Raw genomic sequence first — 17516 nt, 5'->3', positions numbered from 1 at the left:
GTTTTCCTGTCCCTCCTGCTTTTCCTGGTTGTCAGATGAATGTTCTGGCTTATGCCATCTTCAAAATCTCAATGTTTTTGTCTTTGCAGGGGAATCTGACCTTGGTTCAGCCATCTGATGAACCAAGTTCATCTCTTGCATCTTCTTGGCAGTCTGTCTATAGAGCATCTTCTCAGGTTAGGCAAGGTGGAGCTATGTGATTGAGGGAGGGGCTTTTGACTTGAGTCAAAATTAGGCTGCCTGGGACAATCATGGACCATGCCTGCCATACAAGCTGCATTTTTAATGGTACCCCTTTAAATATTTGTGCTCAGATCTCAATTACCCTTGACAATGTAGAATGCAACATTGGAATGTTTGACAATGCAGGAATGCATGCAAAATATAATTTTAAAAAATATCAGCTGGGCGCAGTGGCGTATGTCTGTAATCCCAGCACTTTGGGAGGCCGAGGCGGGTGGATCACCTGAGGTCAGGAGTTCAAGACCAGCCTGACCAATATGGTGAAACCCCATCTCTACTAAAAATACAAAAAATTAGCCAGGCATGGTGGCAGACACCTGTACTCCCAACTAGTGGGGAGGCTGAGACAGGAGAATTCCTTGAACCCAGGAGGTGGAAGTTGCAGTGAGCTAAGATCACGCCACTGCACTCCAGCCTGGGTGACAGAAGAAGACTCTGTCTCAAAAAAATATATATCATATTTGGCCCAGATCTACGTTTTTTGCCTCCAACAAGTTTTCATGAGGTTAAGTTAAATGTGGGAATTTATTTCAGACAGTCTGCAAAGTGGATAGCTCACTAGAGCAAACATACAATCACCTGCAGGCTGACTGTAGTCAAAATAATCTACTGTCACCCTGAATAGGTTTTCTCACATAACATCTACAAAAACCCAGCATACCATTGTCACACCCACATGGTGCCTTCTGATATGTGACATTAGAAAACCTCAATCTCCTAAAAAAAATCATAAAATAGTTTCAGTATATATGAACTCGGCACACGTTTTTGTTCAGTGAAACTTCTTTCTTTGATGATGCCTGTTCAAATATTTGCAAATATTGAGAAAACGCCCACATAAATCATCCTCTGTTGCTGAGGCCACACAGTCTGCAGAAACCAACAGGTAAGACACAAAATACTGAACGCCACTGGAGGTCACGCAAATTCCAGGAAACCTCAGGCCATCTTAGCCTTCCTCTCCCAACCCCAATCTGTTAGTTTCTAACCGAATGTGCTAGAGAAGCCAGCCAGAGCACCATGAAAGTCAGCAAGAAGGTGAAATGGTGAGAGGAGGAGGGGCCTTTGGTTACATCTCTTTTCACCTCTCACTCTAGATGTGAAGAAACTCAGAGGGGGCTGCGGCATCCCAAGTCGGGGAGGCCATGAGGACCACTAGAAGCAGGCCTGGAGGTGTGGTCTCTGGGGCTGGGCTCTGTCGCTGCCCTCTGTACCCCAAAATGCCTCTGAGATGCCCATGTAACCTCCAGGGGAGCCCAGGAGCTTCACCTCCTGCAAATGGGGAGAGATGGACAGTAGGAGAAGAACAAGAGAGAAGCAAGAAGCAAATGGTAGGAGAAAACACAGGATAGAGGGAAGAAAGACCAAAGGCCGGTGAGCAGAGAAAAGAGGTGAGCATCCAGGGCCCAAGAGCTGCTTCAAGGTCATGGAAAGCCAGCCTGCACCTGGAAGGAAAGGTCCTTGCAGAATAGAACTTAAAGCAGGAAACAGAGAATTAAGCGTGGCAAACAAGAAACGCCCATGTGCCTGAATCTATATCATTCTAAGTCAGTGTATCAGACGCCCAGGACTCTGAAAAATCAGGGTTCCCAGACAAACCCAACACTTGGTATGAGCAGCGCTTCTTTATTATAAAACTAACATCACTGAAAGCTTTTTTTTTTTTAAAGACCAAAAATATCACATCTTAGGCAAATGAGTTGAAAATCCCTCAGAGTGACACCCTATTTTTTTTCCACCCATTTCTAAAGTCAGAGGACACCTGGTAAAGAAGCTGGTTTTTAGATAAAGAAATGCAATTCCTGGTGCACGCGGTTTCCTGGTGGTACAGCACTGAAGTGACATCATGGAAATATTTGTACCTCAAGGTCAGTCTGCAAGGTTTCTGTGTGAAAGCATGAGTCTTAGTGGTGGGAAAGTATGTGTGTGCACCTTTGTGATCTGCTGCTGTTTACTGCTCTCTGCTTCAAAGACAAAGTTTTAATTAAATCCAGGTGGGCAGCTTGCCAGGGTTTTCCACACTTTTGGCTCACCTAGGTAGGCAGCCTAAGTGCAGGTTATACCATTTGGAAATGCCTCTGCTCCTGTCACTTGGAAGGAAATAAAACAACTGTTCCTTGGGGCGGGGGGTTGGGGGGAAGAAGCTTGTCTTCCACTCAAGGGCAAGGAATCTATGACATAAGATGCTCATTCTGGTGGTGAATATGAACAGTCTAATTTGTGTAGCATTCCTTAAGGTGCCAAAAGTAGGAAGCAGCAGACTGGGAACGTATGGAATCCTTTGTCTTAATTAAAAATATAGTGGGAGATGTGGAATTTGGCCAAGCCTCATAAATCTGCTAAAAAAGCATCAAGACTCCATCAGATAAGTTTAAATAGAACCAACTGAGCCCTCTGGAGAGTTAAACAGATTCCCCACTCATGTGGACACCCACTCTCCTGTCACTTTCCCGCACTCCGCAGGCAGCAGTGGTGCTCGTTAACCAGCAACCCTCCAATTCGCCTATGACAAGCTTATCCCCCTGGAGCACACGATTCAGACATGATAAATTTACTCCCGCTTGTAAAAATGAAACTCTCCTCAGGGCAATAAAAACGCTCTGAGCCTTTAGGAAATAAGTTCTTTATCTGATAACCTACCTTCATTAACAAAGTCTGGTCCTCTTGGTCAGGACAGCTCTTCACTGCTAGGGAGAACTGCTCTAAGGTAACTGGAAGGGAAGAAATGGAAATTGTGAATGACTTCACTTCCGCCTCAGAGCCCTTCTGATGTGAAGGAGGACACTGTGGTTATAACAGACGTAAACAGCATGCTGTCCGTCCTTCCTTGGTGACATGGCAGAGCTCCCCAACTGTCCCCTGCATGGGTCAGGGGCCCCCGTACAGTGACTTCTCCACCCCATCAGACAGAGTCATTACAGTAGAGTACAAGGCCATTCCCATCAGCAAAGCTCCTCCCTAAACTGCCAGGAGGTCCTGGGTTCAGCTTCCTTTTGGGTCATCTTGTCCCCAGAGATGACACTCTATCTCCATTTCCTGGGACCTTCATTGAGAAGACTCCACCTGCCTTTGTAAATTTGACAGTGCTAATTTAAAAAATCTCAATCTTCCATCATGATTTCCATGGCTTTAACTCTTCTCTTGGTGTATGGCCCCAAGTGTTGACTCAAACCCCACAAACTCCCCCAAATATATAAAGTCGTCTTTCTCCAACCAACCTTCTCAAGGAGAATAGGGAAGAGAAACCCAAGAAGATTTACGAGAAAAAAAAAAAGTTTTAGTAATCCATTGAAATTGGCCATGAAAGCTCTAGGAATATTAATCTAGAAAATTTACAAAATTACATTCCCCTTCTCATATTTATGGCCAGGTTCTCATCAAAGGCTCACTTATGTGGTGACCAATTTTTATTTTGGTGTAAGTCACAGACTGCCCTCCTGTAGGCTGTGTTGACTACATTGTTTCATGCTTGAAAATGCTCCCACAATTCTCTGCCACCCTCAGATTTAAAACCACTTATTTGACACGCATTAAGGCTTTTACTAAGTTAACCCAACTAGTTTAGCCTTTGATTGCTATACTCAAAGCTGCGTTCACTCTTTACCCTCTATGACCTTTCATTGCTCTCTGCTGGGAAGAGTTCTGCCTCTTGTCTTTGAGTAGAGCAAAACTCAGTCCTCCAACTGAACATCCCAAGCCCACCCATCCAGCCAATAAAGACATTGATTGCCCTCTGGTCCCATCCCAACTCCCGCAGATCCCACAAAGGTGGGCAGAGCTAAACTCAGCCTCAAGGCTGAGGGACAGTCTGATTCCAATGATTTGACCTCAAGCATGCCTGGATGTCATGTCTACAAATACAGATATTTTAAAGAGAACTATATCAGCAATGATGAATTTTCATCAAGAAAATATTGTCTGGGTAGGTTGTTTGTAGTTTTCAATGTTACTCTAAAATAGAATTCCTTAGACTGCTTTCATCTCTGACTAAATTACTCCATGCCATCTTGACTGCTATCAGTTGTATCTGGTGCTGATTATTTCTTCCAAGTTTAAATTTTGCTCTATCCAGTCAAGACATACTTGGGATCCATAGAGAGATCAATGTTGCCTTCCACATGCTCTCCAATGCATATACCCACCCAGTCTTCAATTGGCAGAAACCAGTGTTAATTACATAGAATCATCAATTTAATCTTTTTTAAAAATTAACTTTGCCTATAAAAGTGGCTCAGCAGAAACTTGTACATTGAGATAAGGGCCCAAGCTGTGTTAAGTTTACACGAATGCTTTTGCTGTCACTCATTCAGAATACACCTGCCTGGGAAAGACCCTGGAGGCAAGACCTCTCTCCCTCAACTCCGTCCTCAGTTTTGGACTTTTGCTGTGATCTGATTTGGTGTGATAACATATTGATCTCTGACTACTGTCTGAGGATGGCTAAAGAATAATCTACAAATTCAGGTGCTAGGTTTTCTTTAGATCACCTTTTTAAGGTGGCTATTTTATTTGGTAAAGGTTTATGCTGTAACTTAGAATCTTACTTAGTGCAGGTCAGGGAAATTGAAACACTTGCTTCCTTAGAGAGCTACTGGATTCTCACTGACAGCTCTCTCCTCTCTGTGGTGACCCTGTGTTCATACTTCTCACTGCCTGTGCACTGGACTCCACTATGATACTTTTCGTTATCATAGACATAGCACCCACTTCAAGTTACCTTGAACTCTGTACATCCAATCCAAACCAGTCAACTTCCATACCAAGCCAGCCCTTTCCAACTTTTTCCCATTTCTGTGGGACTATCATCCTCCAGCCACCAGGCCACTGAGCCTGATTCTTTGATTTCTCCCTCAGGACCCCATGCCTGCTGACTCTTGTACGATGATGTCCCTTGGATGCACCACTTTCCCACAGTAGTGCTGCCACTTTGATTTCTGGAGAACTTCTCGCTCTTTCCCAGCCTCCATGCCCACTGCTGCCACCACTCTGAGCCTGGCCCTGCTGGAGCCCTATGCCTATGGCCTGCATTCCTCCTCACCACACCAGGCCTAGCCCCTCTTCCCCGTGCAAACCACCCTGATGGCTCCTGACTCTCATTCATGCAGGGTTCCATCTTGGGCCATGCACTCCCTCCCTGTCTCCTCAGGTTGGCCAGGATCCCACCTGATATGGTTTGGTTGTATCCCCACTCAAATCTCATCTTGAATTGTAGCTCCCATAATCTCCGCATGTCACGGGAGGGGACACAGTGGGAGGTAAATGAATCATGGGGGTGGTTACCCTCCATACTGTTCTCATGATAGTGAGTTCTCATGAGATCTGATGGTTTTATACAGGGCATTTCCCCCTTTTGCTCGGCACTTTTCCTTCCTGCCACCATGTGAAGAAGGACGTGTTTGCTTCCCTTTCTGCCATGATTGTAAGTTTCTTGAGGCCTCCCCAACCCTGCAGAACTGTGAGTCAATTAAACCTCTTTCCTTCATAAATTACCCAGTCTTGGGTATGTCTTTATTAGCAGCATGAGAAAGAACTAATATACCACCCTTCTCCAGGGCCAGCATGGGGAGTAGTCTCAACACAGGTTTGGCATCAGACAGACCTGACTTTAAATCTTCCCTCTGCCACTTCCAGCTGTGTGTCCTTAGACAAGTCACACAGCCTTGCTGAGCCTCGCTTCCTCATCAGTGACGTGTGGAGCCCGGAGCCCACTTGCTGGAGCAGGTGTGAGGCTGTGTGTAAAGAAACGGTGCTGGCAGTGAGTCTGCACTCCATCTTAGGTTCCTGTACAAAGATTTCTCTAAGTCTCCCCTGTTCCCTGTTCGATGCCTTGATGTGACACATGACACATGGAGTTTTTCCTTCCCAATCAGTCTCTAGTGTTTAGATGTCCGGGCTGCCCTGGCCTCAGGAGAGGGTGCAGGAGATGGGCTTGGATCCTATCCCAGACTCTGTCCTGTCCCCATGATGTCCAGCATGCCCACAGCCATGACCCCGTTTTGTGGAACTGGACTGAAGTGCACGTGTAGGAACACAAGGCCACACTTCAGTCCAGTGCCCTTCGTGGGCTGGCTGAGTTTTATGGGGCTAGCAGCCTACAGCCCTTTCTACACAGATGACAAAAACCAACCTTCAGAACAGAGGCCCAACAAAAGCAGCATGCACCTATGTCTCGGCTTTTTCCCCTCACCCCAGATGTCAGTGTGACACAGGCTACTATGCCAGTGCAGGTTTCTCTCTCCCCTCACCCCACTCTCATTTCTACCAAATCCCAAAAGAGAAGAGGGGGTGAAAACCATTAGGTTTTCATAAAGACATACCTGAGAGTGGGTAATTTATAAAGGAAAGAGGTTTAATTGACACAGTTCTGCAGGGTTGGGGAGGCCTCAGGAAACTTACAATCATGGCAGAAGGGGAAGCAAACACGTCCTTCACGTGGCGGCACGAAGCAGTGCTGAGCAAAAGGGGGAAAAGCCCCTTATAAAACCATCAGATCTCATGAGAACTCACTCACTATGAGAACAGGTCTGTGCGGCCACTTTCCCTGACAGCTGATTCAGTGACAACTTGCAAGAGAAGCCTCATGACAAGTTGACATTTCATGACCCCTCCCTTCTTCCTCCCCAACTTTTAAATAGGAGGAAAAAACCTCAAAATGAAAGCAGTTGTCGTATCTACTTTCTTCTACCTTTGTTGCTGATTCAAGGGATCGACTGCCTAATGAAAATAAGATACACAGCCAAACTAGTGCCAACAAAATGCAAAGTCTCCCTGGGGCATGAGTCTCCCTAAGGGACTCTTGGCGGAATCACTTTCTTGCTTCAACATGTCTCAACTGCGCCTAAGTGTCCCAGTACTGTTCATGTCAGTAGTGGGAGGCTGAGGCTTCCACCTGTCTGAGTAGAGTTAAGTTCTCCTTGGTTGGACTTTTCCACCTTTGTGTGACAAAAGAAGGGAGAACCAGAGACTTTTAGATAACAAGTGGCTTTGAGGTTGGGGATCAAGGAGAGGAAGCATAGGGAAATAAACACCTGATTCAAGTAAACAATGGTCATTTGGGAGAAAAAAATATGGAGCAGCATGAAACAGGTTTCCTCTGCTGCAATGGTCGGCAGTAAATGATCTACAATGGCCTCATCCCCTGCAGTCATTGCTGTAAGGTAGAACCTTACAAAATGGGAGATACCTAACACCCAAGGAAATGGTTGCACCTAGAATAAATTTCATTATAATATGCTGTTTCGAATAAGGGGGAAGACAAAACAAAGCAAACCCACAATACCATTGTACTGATTTTCCTCTTGAAATATTGCTGGTCAGATTGGGCACCTGTCACTAAGTTAGCAGGTACAGTTGACCCTGACCTATAACCTGCACCTGGGGCTTCAGTGCTCAGAAATCCCGTCTCAGAATGTTCTTTCAGCTTCTCTCGCAATCTTTGCGCCAGGGCCCTCGATAATAGGGGCCCTGCCCCTGCGGCTAAGCTTTAGAGGGCCCTGCCCATGGGGCTATGGGTACTGCCCACCTGGAACTTGCACCCACTCCTCCAGGGACCAGTTCTCTTGTTTCCTGACCCAAATACCTTAAGCCTCTTTTCTGCGATGTGTTGCTACTGGGGAACCACACCACTGCCGTGTCCACTCTAGACCCATGGGGTAGCCAAGGGGCAGCTGATTGCAGGGATGTGGACAGACCTTGAGTGTCTAGACCAGATGATCTGCACAGTGTAGGGTAGACCTGGAGGTGCAATGAGAGAGAGGTGGGCCAAAGGGCTGCTTCTCACCATGCTGCAGAGTTCACATAACTGCTAGGAGCCTGGGCATTCTAAATTCGAATCTGGCCTTCTGGATGAACAAAGCTACATTTGTCAGGGCAGGAGGGCAGAGTAGATTTTCTTCAACATGTTGTAAGCTTGCTTTGTAATTCTGCCCTGGGCCCCACATAGGAGGGGCAGGCTCCTTCCTGGTAGGGAAGGAAGACCTGGCACTAAAATACCAGGTCCCTGGAAAGAGGAGATTGCACCAGCTGAGCTTCAGTCTGGTAGGGAAATGTGGCTCTCATCTCAGATACCTACAGTGAAGATGAGGAAGCCAGCTTCCTCTTAGTTGTGGCAGAAATATGGGGGCTGACACCTACCCCTCCATGGACAGCTCCTCTGGAGGAGTTTGATGGCTGAGCATTGCTGGGAACCAGGCAGCCTTCTCTAGAGGCAGCGACCTCCCTTACTGAGGCTTCCCTGGCACCAGAAGTAGAGGGCCCCACGTCTCCTCACCAGCCTCTCCTTGAGAGCCTTGAGGGTCAAGCTCCCCAGCAGCCATATCTGAGGCTCCTGGCCAGGGGCCCCTTATCGATGACTCCTTCTCCACTGACCGCACCACGAGGTGGGACACTGCGCCCACTGTCCCTCAGCCCTCTCCTCCCACCTGTGTGTGACTGCGGCGCTCTCAGCTCATCCTGCAGAGCTGTCTGCCACTCCAGACAGCTTCTGAAGTCCCCCACCCACCTCTTTTTCATAACACAACAGGGAAATGTTGAAAGAGAGAGAGAGAAACAAAAAGGCTTCGTTTTGCAGAAAGAACTCTGGCTTTGTTTTCAGAATCAACACGGAGGGTTGACAGGGGCCTTTAACTTCTTCGCAACCAGCAGTCATGGTGCAGCCAGTCTCCTGCACGTTGAGATGTGGTGGGGGGTGTGGAGCTGGCCCTCGGGGGACCTCCACGAGAGGGTGAGGGCCCTGCTCACTGTCCCCCAGCCTGCCCTGTCAGAAAGCACCTCTGTTCCAGAGAGCGGCAGAGCATGACACATGTGGCCCTCCTTTTCTCTGGCCCCACAACTGAAAGCCCACAGGAGCCAGCATGCATCTCTTCTCTGGCAGACAAGCTCTTGGTCTACAACTAAGTCTCAACATGTTTTCTGCTCCGAACACTGGGATCTCAGCACTTCCCAAGGGACAGCTTCCTCCAGGATGGCAATGGGCCACTGCTCCTCCAATGCCAACCCTCCTTTCGACCCCCACTGCCACGACCTCTTTGCAGATCTTTGTCCTCTGGCTTGCTGGTCACATCCACTTGTTTTGGTCTCCATCCTCCATCCAGCTCCACTCTGGGGTCTCTTTCTCCAAAGCACCGCATCCCCCGAAGCCAGGAAACTTTCCCTCCAGGGAGTCCTGGTGTGATGGTCACTCTCCAACTCCTTCCCTTCCTTGGCCAGCTACTGCTGCCCAGCAGAGGCTAAGCTCCATGATGTAGCATCCAGCACACCTCACGACCCACCCTGGCCCACTTTTCCAGGCTCATTCTCTCAATATTGTTTCTTGGCCTTTCTCCCAAACACCTTCCTCCTGATAAGGCAGGCCCCTTGTCATTCCCTGTTCAAGCCCTTCACTCTGCCACCTCCACTTCTGTCCACTCTATGGCTTCTTCCCATCCTGCAGAGCCACGTCCCCACCTTCGGGAACCTATGCATGTTTCAAGACCCAGCACCAATGGGTCTTCTGTGACACCACGTGGGAGCCTGTGGCCGTGCAGGGAGCCTGCACCTCTCACAGGCTCTCCTGCTCCATGTGTGTGTGGGCGCTGTGTTCACATCCTATTCCCTCTGCTGGATTGAAAAGCGTCACATTGTTCTGATAATCTGAGTCCTAAGTCTGGCAAATAGGAGGTACTGAAAACCTTCTAAGCAAATAAACTAAGTGAGTCTATACTAAGACTAAGACTAAGACTGTATTTCCCTAGGCAGGCAAAATGCCAGTTTGGCCAGTCCCAGGGATGGGAACGTAATGGGGGCTGACTGACATCTTAGAAGTCTTTATTCTAGACTGCACCATGGGAGTGAAATGTGGAGAACTGGTTGCAAAATCCTAGATGTGAGCAGTTCCCAAAGGGGCTGGGGGGCCTGAAGGAGCCCAACCTGCCTGCCGTGTTCTGGGCTCAGGGAGAAAAGCAGCTGCCCTCTCTCCACATGGGGGGCATTGCAAACCCGAGACATTCATCCTCCTTCTTAGGGCTCTCTGCTGGTTGCTAAGGGAACAATCTGTAGTCTTTGGCTCAGGCACAAAGTCGGGAGACAGAGCACAGTGGTCACCTGCTTTCCTGAATGGCAGAGCCCTTTCAGCTTGGGGCAAATGCACCATTCACTCAGGAAGAGATGACGGCACAGCTCATCTGGACCCCTTCTGGAGCCCACGGACTCCCTGTGTGCAGGGGGCTGCCCTCCCCCAGGTGGACAGTGGCACGCTGTCCCCTATTTGACATGGCCTTGGCTCACCATGGCCAAAGGCTGCTTCCTGGGGCCTGCTCCAGTCTTAGCCAAGAGCAAGGTGTAGAGCCGGGGGCAGCCAGAGGCGGCAGCCACTGTCACCACATCTTTTCCCCAGTGTCATCTCCAGCAGCCAGTGTGAGCCTCCCCATGGCCCGGCTCTGTCCCACCTGCAGATCCCCCTTCACCTGCATGGAAGGACAACTTTGACACTAACGCTCAGCTGGAGGCCATCACAACCACCACTGTCCCATCAGCGGAACAAGAGTCAGCCAATTTTGGGAAACAAACACTGTGGACTCCAGTGTCACACTTAAATTGGGAAGATAATGGATAGGACAGCTGCAATTGCCTCATGCGTGGCATTGATCCTGTTTTCCACCTTGCAGCGATTCGCCCTCCCATTTAATATAGTGCTCAGGCTCAGGACCTGGATGTTACGAGGCCCTGCAGTCCTCTCTGCCACGCGCCTGTCTCGGCATCTGCATGTGTGGCCCCAGGTCATGCATGCGCCACACGTCCAAGCTGAGTTGGACCCAGTTCTCTCCTCTCCACCTTGGTGCCCAGAAGAAGCCCTTGGCTTTTCCTCATAGCTCACCCTCCACCTGGAGGCCCTCCAGGCCCCTTTGCCCTCGCACCTCCAGAACCCACCCCTCCACGCAGGCCTGCTGCTGTTGCTCCTCAGTTCCTGTCCTCAGAGCTGTTCACCTCCACACCTGAAGAAATCTTCCCAAAGCTTTTTCCAAGACTCCCCACTGACAGTGGGAGTTGACAATGACAGCTACGGGCCTTGGCACTCAGGCCCTGTGGGACCCTGCTGTTCACCCTCACATTGGCCCTACACCCCGACCACACCAAGCCACAAGCACTTTCCCAAGTCATCCACGCACTTCATGCCTCCCTCCTGGTTCTTCCATCTGCTCGGAATGTCCTTTCCACCTTCCAGATAGCTAAATTCTACCTGCCCTTCAAAAGGCAAAGTCTCAAATGCTGCTTGCCTCACTGGAACTTCGTGGGGAGCCGCGTGGACCCTGCACCCCCTGCCCAGCTTGTGTCTCTTCCGTGTTCTCTCAGGGCTCCTAGTCTATGGGGGCTCTCATCTCAGTTCTCACCAGTGCTCCTTGGGAGCAGGGGCTGTTTCATACTGGACCTTTTATTCCTGGAGTGTAACACAGTCCTTGGCACAAGGCAGGACTTCAACAAATATGGGGCGAGAAGGGTGGATAAGGGAATGAGGAAGGGTGCTCCACATCAGGATTGTTTCCGAAGGATAACTGAGTAGATGTCAGATTCAGGAGGGGCAGCTCCATAGTTACAAGGTTTATTTTTCATGCAGCAGTAGGAGGCTGAGAGATGGAGCAAGCCGCAGCTTCTCAGGACCTTCTGCTGTATTGGTCCTATGGTCTGAGGCAATATTGTGATTCTATTCCATAGGACCAACATGGTCTGTGTGATTCTTGCAAGAAGAAAGAACAGAGCAAACTGAGCTCAGCTGCTCACAGCTGCCACAGGTCCTGAGCAGCTGCGACCTTAGGCACCTCTGGTGTTAGGGCAGAACCTGGGTGTCTCCTTAAAATAGCACAATTGCTAGAAAAACTCAACTGCATGCCCATGGCCTGGAATGGGTTTGCATAAAATTTATTTTGTCTTAAACTGCTCAGGATCGAAGAATGATAAAATATGCACAAGGCAAGGAACTCTGATATCCACTGCACCAAGAGGCTGGTTTACATACTGAGAAACAGCTGTTCTGAACATTTTTGAAAGCCATTTTTTTCTGCTGTGTTATGTTTTCCAGACTAACCTACTTGCATGATTCGTGCACTTTAATCTTCTAGCTCACAGAAAGAACTGGTTAGAAGCCAGCTCTACTGCAAAGTCCTTTGTTGCTGCACTCCTGGACACAGAAGAATTTTCACCCATAGTTATAAAAATCTACGAGAATTATCTTATTTTCCAGGTGGCCAATGAAGGGAGAACTTCTGAGTGATTTTCAGGGGCAAAAAAGAATCACAAGAGATAGGGGCCAGCAATCTCTACTTACACTAATGTTATATAAAAATTCAAAAGTATTCAATATCTGCTTTGATAAGCCAGAGCTGAGATTCTACGTGTCAGTAGACAAAGGTGAAATACTGGTGAAAACCTCACTTTTAATTACCTTGTTAACATATTCCCCCTCTAACATTCTGTGCCACTTTAAGTAGATATCAAAACTTGTTAAACGATTGTATCTCAGAGGATAAACGCTGCCTTTTTTTTTTTCTTTTTGGTTCTCATGTTTCGAGTAAAAGCCATCATTTTCAAGTTAATAGAGCATTATGTTTTCTCTGCAAATAAAATCTCATAAGTCATAAGCAAAGAGAGAGGTAAATTCATAAAGAGGAGACAAAGCACTATTTTTCCTCCTGGCACTTGTGATCTCTGATAGGTTAAAAATGATGTTTTTATCTCTGGTGATTTATCAAACTTGAGATTTCACAAAAGATAAACAGATGCATTGAAGAAATAATACATCATCTTAATGCTTCATTTTGACACTTTTGGTTTCTAAAAAGCATGTATCTTAAAGATCTCCCCTCCAAAAACTCAATAGTTTCCATGATTTACACATTTAATTCTTGTTTTTAAGACACACTGAAATGAGAACATGCCAGGAGGCACCTTTAAAGAAGATGGCCACATTTGAAACATACAGATTATTTATAGAAGAAAAACTCAAAGAGCTGAAAGAAAATCTGGTTGTCAACAGACAGTTGCTTTTTCTATGTTTTTTTTCTATAGTTCATTTTGGTTTTTGTGTGGGTGGCTCATGTGAGCTCAAAGGTTATTTGCTAAATGTTTTGTGAGATTAGAACATGTCCTTTAAAACCTAAATTTAAATGTATGTTTACTGCAAACATATTTAACTTTACAATATGTGGTATGGAATAATATTTTTAAATACAAAATTATATCTAGAGTGTGTATGATAAATCAAGAGTTCCTATACTTTTATTTTTATTCACCGTTTGGAAGGTCTTATTCTCCATCCTGTTCCCAGTGGAAAACTCACAAATACAGTATACTTGGTGCAAATAATTTCTTTTTTTACTTTTGGTGTTACTTTTGCCCATCAATTTTGGTACTAATGTAACCATATTTTGAAACTACTTAGATATTAGAAGTTAAATGAACAGGGGCTGTAGACCAGATCTCTGCAGTCCATCATACAATGTACAATTTTTTGATCACAGAGTGGGAAACAAAGGAGCGAAAACACATTTAAAAAGTGGGAAACACATTTAAAAAGTGGGAAGGGCTTATTTTATTTTTTATTTTATTTTGCTTCTTTAGAAATGCTGAGCTCCCAGATTCAGCTCCAACGAGCACTGGGAGCCCTGCAACATGGGCAGATGGTAGCAGCCTGCTGGGATTTGAGTCTTCCTTCTGCCTCTTTTAACTGTGTGACCTTAGACAACTCATTAACCTCTCTGTGCCTCGGTTTCCTCAGATGAAAGTTGAGAAGGCAGTGGTTCCTTCCTCACTGCCTAGTGGGGGATTAGAGTTGCTCTGTCCCTAATATTTTGCACAGGGCCTGATAGGCTGAGCCCTCACTGAATGTTGGCTCCCTTTGCTCCATACGGTCCTAGGGCTTCCACCCATGTTATTTCATTTAATCCTCACAGAAACTCTGTGAAATAGAAAAAAACAAGAAGCATTGTTCGGAGGCAAATCCAGTAAGAGTAGTAGGAAGCAGTACGTGCTAACTTTACCATAAATAAATGCACAAAGAAAGACTTTCAAAAACTCAAGAACACCAGAACCCCCATTCTCTGGGATTCATCTGTGGGAAAGAAACCTCTTAAAGAGTGCGGTGGATGGGGTTGAGGAGCTCCACTGTCTGTCTGGGGAAAGCTGTAGGGTTAACTGGCCCCGGGGCAAAGTCATAACGCCACAGCTTATTAGCGTGTGACCCCAAGCAGTTGTTCACCCCTCTGAGCCTCAGTTTCCTCAGTGGGCTTTGCAAGGTTGTTGTGGAGATTAAACAAATTACAAGGGCCAAGCATTTAGCGAGTCTTTGGCAAAGAGAATATTTTCTATAGATGGAGATGGCTGTGATGGCTGTGATTATTACACAGATGGCTGTGTGTTGGCCATTAGACTGGGCTCAAAGGGTGGCATTTCATTAGCATCTAGGTCAAGTACAGCCACTAACTTCTGTTCTTGAGAGTCCTCCATAAAACACACATCATTCGGGTGTCAGACTTTGCTTTTGCCTTTCTTCCCCCTCTCCCCAGGGCAACAGAGTCTTCAGGTCACTGGTGATAAAAAACCACCTCAGAATTTCTCACTTCCTTCAAAGGAGAGTGAGTCAGTGAAGTCTCTAAAGACAGCTTTCTTCAGGGACAAGCTCCCAAGTTCAGGGGTGTGACAGCACTTCTTCAGAAAACAGCATTTGGGGTCTTCTTAGGGCCCAGCTGACCCAAACCTGAAGTTCAACTACATGGCTTGGGGAGATGGAGAAGCTTGGGGAGGGAACCCCAGCATGAAGACCGACGGGCACAACCTGCAGGATGTCAGAGGAGAGCTTTTCACAGAGCTACTAGCATGTTGGGCAGTCTGTGTTCTTAAACCTTCTCTTCCCATGTCTCTTGGCCAATGTGCCATGAAATTAAAATCCACTTTGGCAAAGTGGCATGCTCTGCCAGATTTTTACATACTACGATGCTTCCATCCAGTCAAATTTCCTTCTCATCTTTTTTGTCTAAGAGCCCTCCTTGATGTGAGCACAAGGGACCTCCATGCTCCTACTTCTGCTGGTCTCCATTTCACCAGGCGCCTCCCTCCGACTTCCAATTGGCCACAAGCTTCGTCGCTCTCTCTCAAAGCAATTTTGTGTGTGAGTATAGTCAGAAGGTGAGTTCTCACTTTCGTGTCCCTCCATATTCTGCCAGCTCCTGGATTTCCAGACCTCAAGCATCAGAGACCCAGTGTCCCTGGACTCCCTCGACTCCCCAGGCTGCTCCCAGCCATCACACACTCTCTGAAATGGTGACCCTCAACTCCCAGGTTCACCTTTTTCCCAAAGGCACTGCTCATAGGCCTAGGATTTGGCCGTGTGACTGAAGTAGAGAAAACAAAGCCAGGGGACATTCCTTCTCTTCCCCAATGTTGGGACCTCCAAGATGCTGGGTCTACTGGGATTTGGCAGTGAATTCCATCTGCCTATTCTTGGTGCAACAGACCTTCTCACTGGTTTCCACTGCCCACACATTTAACGGGTGCTAGACAAAGACAGGGGCCAGAAGCAGGGGCAGTGGCACCCAGGGCTCCTTCCCTCCCTACCTCCCTCCCTTCCTCCCTCCCTCAGGCCACTTGTGTGGGGCCACATGAGACTTCTCTAAAGTTAGACACACCAGCAGATGGGTACTGGGGGAGAGGAAGGCACACAGGTGTCACAGCCAACTAGCACCTCTGGTCCTCCCACTCTTCCCCTCCCCTCCAGGCCTCCACCTCCAGTAGTAACAGAAAAACACTGCAGAAACCCAACAGTCAAAGAATGAGAAGTGTTGTCTTACAACTTCTGGTTCTACCCCAAGTCGGGTTTGTCCTTCATGATCTTGGATTTAGTTGAGTGAAAAGGGGAAAGTACCTAGATTCACACAGGACTACTGGCTGATGTTGTGGCATTTTGTTTATCTGAGCTTGCATAATGTAATGCACATTTGAGGAGGCGGTAGGGATATTCCCGTAATTTCCTAGAGGATGAATGTCAAAGCTAAAGCTAAACCAAGGTGAATGTAGTTTATATAAAGAATAGCCCCACTAACAACTGAGAGGAAAATGCTGATCCCGGGAAGAATACTGCAACAAGCACTAATGGATAACATACAGAAATAATGCTTTAATAATGCATGCGATCATGTTTTTATTAACAAAGAAAGTCTTGTTTCAAAACAAATACATCCTTGAGAGGAGTCTGAAATTAATCCCCAATAGGCAGAAATCCACATTATTATATATTCTAATTATAATTACAACCTGCTCTTAATATGAACATTCTAAATTATTAGTCACTTTATTAAGAACCAGAAAGAGGACTTCCTGCTGCATAATGAGAAGTACTCACAAGCTTCGAGAATGAGAAAAGCAAGAGACAATTCTGCACAGAGCTGGAAAGTAGTGGATGTAATTTATTTAATAAAAGTGCCTCCTTTCTCCTTTTTTGTTTAGGAATTGGTACACCCTTAGGGGTTCAGACAGCACCAAGGCTTCAGAGCTGCACTTTCTAGGGCAAGACAAAAATGTGTATCACAGAAAAATAACGATTTATCATTGTAACAGTTACATCCCACTACGGAAACCACCAGAGACTGCTTAACATTTTTATTTCAAACACGGTTTTCCCTAGTTTTCAGGTGACAAACGGAGACAGATGCCAGAAGGTGTTTTTCCATTTGTTCCTAATAAAAATGGCTAAATTCTGAGTTCATTGTCATCTGGGGTGACATTAAGACTGTGCTTTAGGCCGGGGACGGTGGCTCACGCCTGTAATCCCAGCACTTTGGGAGGCCGAGGTGGGCAGATCACGAGGTCAGGAGATTGAGACCACCCTGGCAAACACAGTGAAACCCCGTCTCTACTAAAATACAAAAAATTAGCTGGGTGTGGTGGCGGGCACCTGTAGTCCCCAGAGTAGTGAGCAGAGATCATGCCACTACACTCCAGCCTGGGCGACAGAGCGAGACTCCGTCAAAAAAAAAAAAAAAGACTGTGCTTTAACAGACTGATCCTTCTCTTCCTTCCTATGCATTCTTCCTTCAAAAGGCTCCAAAGGCAACATCTGGGTCTGGTCACTGAAGACAGATGGGCTCCTTCTACTTCTTCTCCCATCCCCTGGAGGCCTCTGCCAGAGGGTAACATGCTATTTGAATGTAATGATACGCTGGTGAAATTTTACTGGCTAGTGTTATGTTTAGTGCATCCTTATCTTTAGGACCCGTTCTGTACAGACCTCCTCATTACAGATGGATTTC

At 46.9% G+C, this 17516-nt stretch overlaps 1 protein-coding gene and 1 long non-coding RNA gene across 26 annotated transcripts in view, besides 4 other annotated features; one reads left to right on the top strand and one right to left on the bottom strand.

The window, feature by feature from the left end:
* Nucleotides 1-17516, bottom strand: part of ACOXL (acyl-CoA oxidase like) — a 385976-nt gene that overhangs the window by 66377 nt on the left and 302083 nt on the right. For 18 of the 25 annotated variants that reach the window (NM_001437600.1, NM_001142807.4, XM_011511411.4 and 15 more), the window contains one exon: nucleotides 2884-2954. The exons of 6 other annotated variants lie outside the window; for them this stretch is intronic. In NM_001437600.1, coding sequence (NP_001424529.1) covers nucleotides 2884-2954 — 71 coding nt within the window. Of the gene's footprint in view, nucleotides 1-2883; nucleotides 2955-8310; nucleotides 14171-17516 lie in introns of those variants that run through there. One more of the 25 variants, XM_011511427.3, reaches the window with a different exon arrangement.
* On the top strand, nucleotides 1995-16967 carry LOC124907866 (uncharacterized). The gene is made up of 2 exons (XR_007087182.1): nucleotides 1995-2111; nucleotides 15250-16967. It is a non-coding gene; the product is annotated as an uncharacterized LOC124907866 (long non-coding RNA).
* Nucleotides 2026-2320: an enhancer, noted in NCBI's record as "tiled region #7769; HepG2 Activating DNase unmatched - State 8:EnhW". NCBI's record gives its function as "activates a minimal TATA promoter and a strong SV40 promoter by Sharpr-MPRA in HepG2 cells {active_cell/tissue: HepG2}" and the evidence as "EXISTENCE:reporter gene assay evidence [ECO:0000049][PMID:27701403]".
* Nucleotides 2026-2320: a silencer, noted in NCBI's record as "tiled region #7769; K562 Repressive non-DNase unmatched - State 21:Repr". NCBI's record gives its function as "represses a minimal TATA promoter and a strong SV40 promoter by Sharpr-MPRA in K562 cells {active_cell/tissue: K562}" and the evidence as "EXISTENCE:reporter gene assay evidence [ECO:0000049][PMID:27701403]".
* Nucleotides 8838-8887: an enhancer, noted in NCBI's record as "active region_16378". NCBI's record gives its function as "activates an Ori minimal core promoter by ATAC-STARR-seq in GM12878 lymphoblastoid cells {active_cell/tissue: GM12878}" and the evidence as "EXISTENCE:reporter gene assay evidence [ECO:0000049][PMID:35858748]".
* Nucleotides 14662-14891: an enhancer, noted in NCBI's record as "active region_16377". NCBI's record gives its function as "activates an Ori minimal core promoter by ATAC-STARR-seq in GM12878 lymphoblastoid cells {active_cell/tissue: GM12878}" and the evidence as "EXISTENCE:reporter gene assay evidence [ECO:0000049][PMID:35858748]".

Source organism: Homo sapiens, chromosome 2 (genome assembly GCF_000001405.40).
Source record: "Homo sapiens chromosome 2, GRCh38.p14 Primary Assembly".
Lineage (NCBI taxonomy): Eukaryota > Metazoa > Chordata > Mammalia > Primates > Hominidae > Homo > Homo sapiens.
The sequence above is the reverse complement of the archived record's forward strand: the minus strand, read 5'-3'. Positions and strand labels throughout refer to the sequence as shown.